Source organism: Homo sapiens, chromosome 2 (assembly GCF_000001405.40).
Source record: "Homo sapiens chromosome 2, GRCh38.p14 Primary Assembly".
Taxonomy (NCBI): Eukaryota; Metazoa; Chordata; class Mammalia; order Primates; family Hominidae; genus Homo; species Homo sapiens.
The window spans coordinates 81,395,555-81,396,857 of NC_000002.12; the positions used below are offsets into that span (position 1 = coordinate 81,395,555).

At 39.2% G+C, this 1,303-nt stretch overlaps 1 annotated feature.

Moving 5' to 3' along the window:
* Positions 206–720: an enhancer, noted in NCBI's record as "NANOG hESC enhancer chr2:81622884-81623398 (GRCh37/hg19 assembly coordinates)". NCBI's record gives its function as "activates a minimal SCP1, AML or CMV promoter by ChIP-STARR-seq in primed H9 embryonic stem cells {active_cell/tissue: H9 hESC(primed)}" and the evidence as "EXISTENCE:reporter gene assay evidence [ECO:0000049][PMID:30033119]".

Sequence of the window (1,303 nt, forward strand, 5' to 3'; positions counted from 1 at the left end):
AAGTTCCCAATTTTGGTCGGCGGGGGGTGTGGGGGCTCAGAGAACAATAACCAAGTATAGTGCTCTGGCAGGCTGAGTACTTTTGAATTAAAGGAAATTGGAAGGACTTAGAAGCTGCCTCAGAATGAAGGACTTTCTAACCTTTTTTTGTTTTTCTCCTGCCAAGTACAGGGAGGCATTCTCCCTGGAAGTTCCCTTGTCTGACTGGGAAAAACTTCTTCCAAAAGAAATGCAATTGTCTTGTAACCTCTTTAGGAATATTATCAAATAACCAGAAAAGATTAACCACCAGAGAGGAGAAAAGACTAAAAGTCATCACCATGTGCAGACAAACTTTTCACCTATTCTTCTAAGGGTAGCTCTGAGAGATTACCTGGGAGACGGTATCTGCATAATAAGAAAAACCTTTGTTCACAGTGAAGCTCCTTTTCTAACCTTCTTGAGGTTAATTGCCATCTCTCTTAATGAGCTCAGAGAAACATTGTCCCAGGTCATTGTTTATTCTTGAGGTCCCGTTCAGTATTAAAAGAGAATTATTTACAAACTATTGTCTGTTCCTTGGGCCCAGATTAAGTCTTCTAAAAATCATTTACCACACCCTCAAAATTGCTTACATTCCTCCATCTCCCTCTCCCTTATGAAGAGGGCACTATTTAAGCTTTAATCATTCAGCTCTTCTTTGAGTCATATTTTGTATGGCTCCTATATACATTTGAACATTAGTAAAACTGTATATTGTTTTCCCCTGTTAATCTATTTTCAATTTATTTTAGCAGACCAGATTTACCCGTACCCTACCTAATATTTTCCCTTTGACAATAAAGCTTTTAGAAAATAATAGATGTTTGATACATATTTGTCAGTATTGAATTGAAACTAACTTGAATTGGGGAATTTATCAGAGTTATTTTTGATCTACTAAGAATAACATCTTACAACCTTTCTTGCTACATCACCAATAGTGCAGTAAATAGGTGTTCAGAATTTATGTTCCTGTTACAGTAGGTAGCTAATCAGCCATGAGCAGGACAGGAAAGGGCTCCCCCTACCCACCAGGAATGTCAGGCAACCATCAGGTGATAGTCCTGCAGTTGTTACATTGCTTCTCTAAAATGATAATTGGTCACAGCGGGTGCCAGGGAGAGGAAATTTCCCAGTAGATAGAGACACCTGAAATTGGTGATCGGTAGCTTCCAATAAGATCTCAGGAACTGGGTGAGTGGGCTTGAGCATGCACATTAAAAGGAAAAATGGCACAGTATGACCTTCTGGGGGCACTGCACTGGAAAAGAAAAAAAAGTCT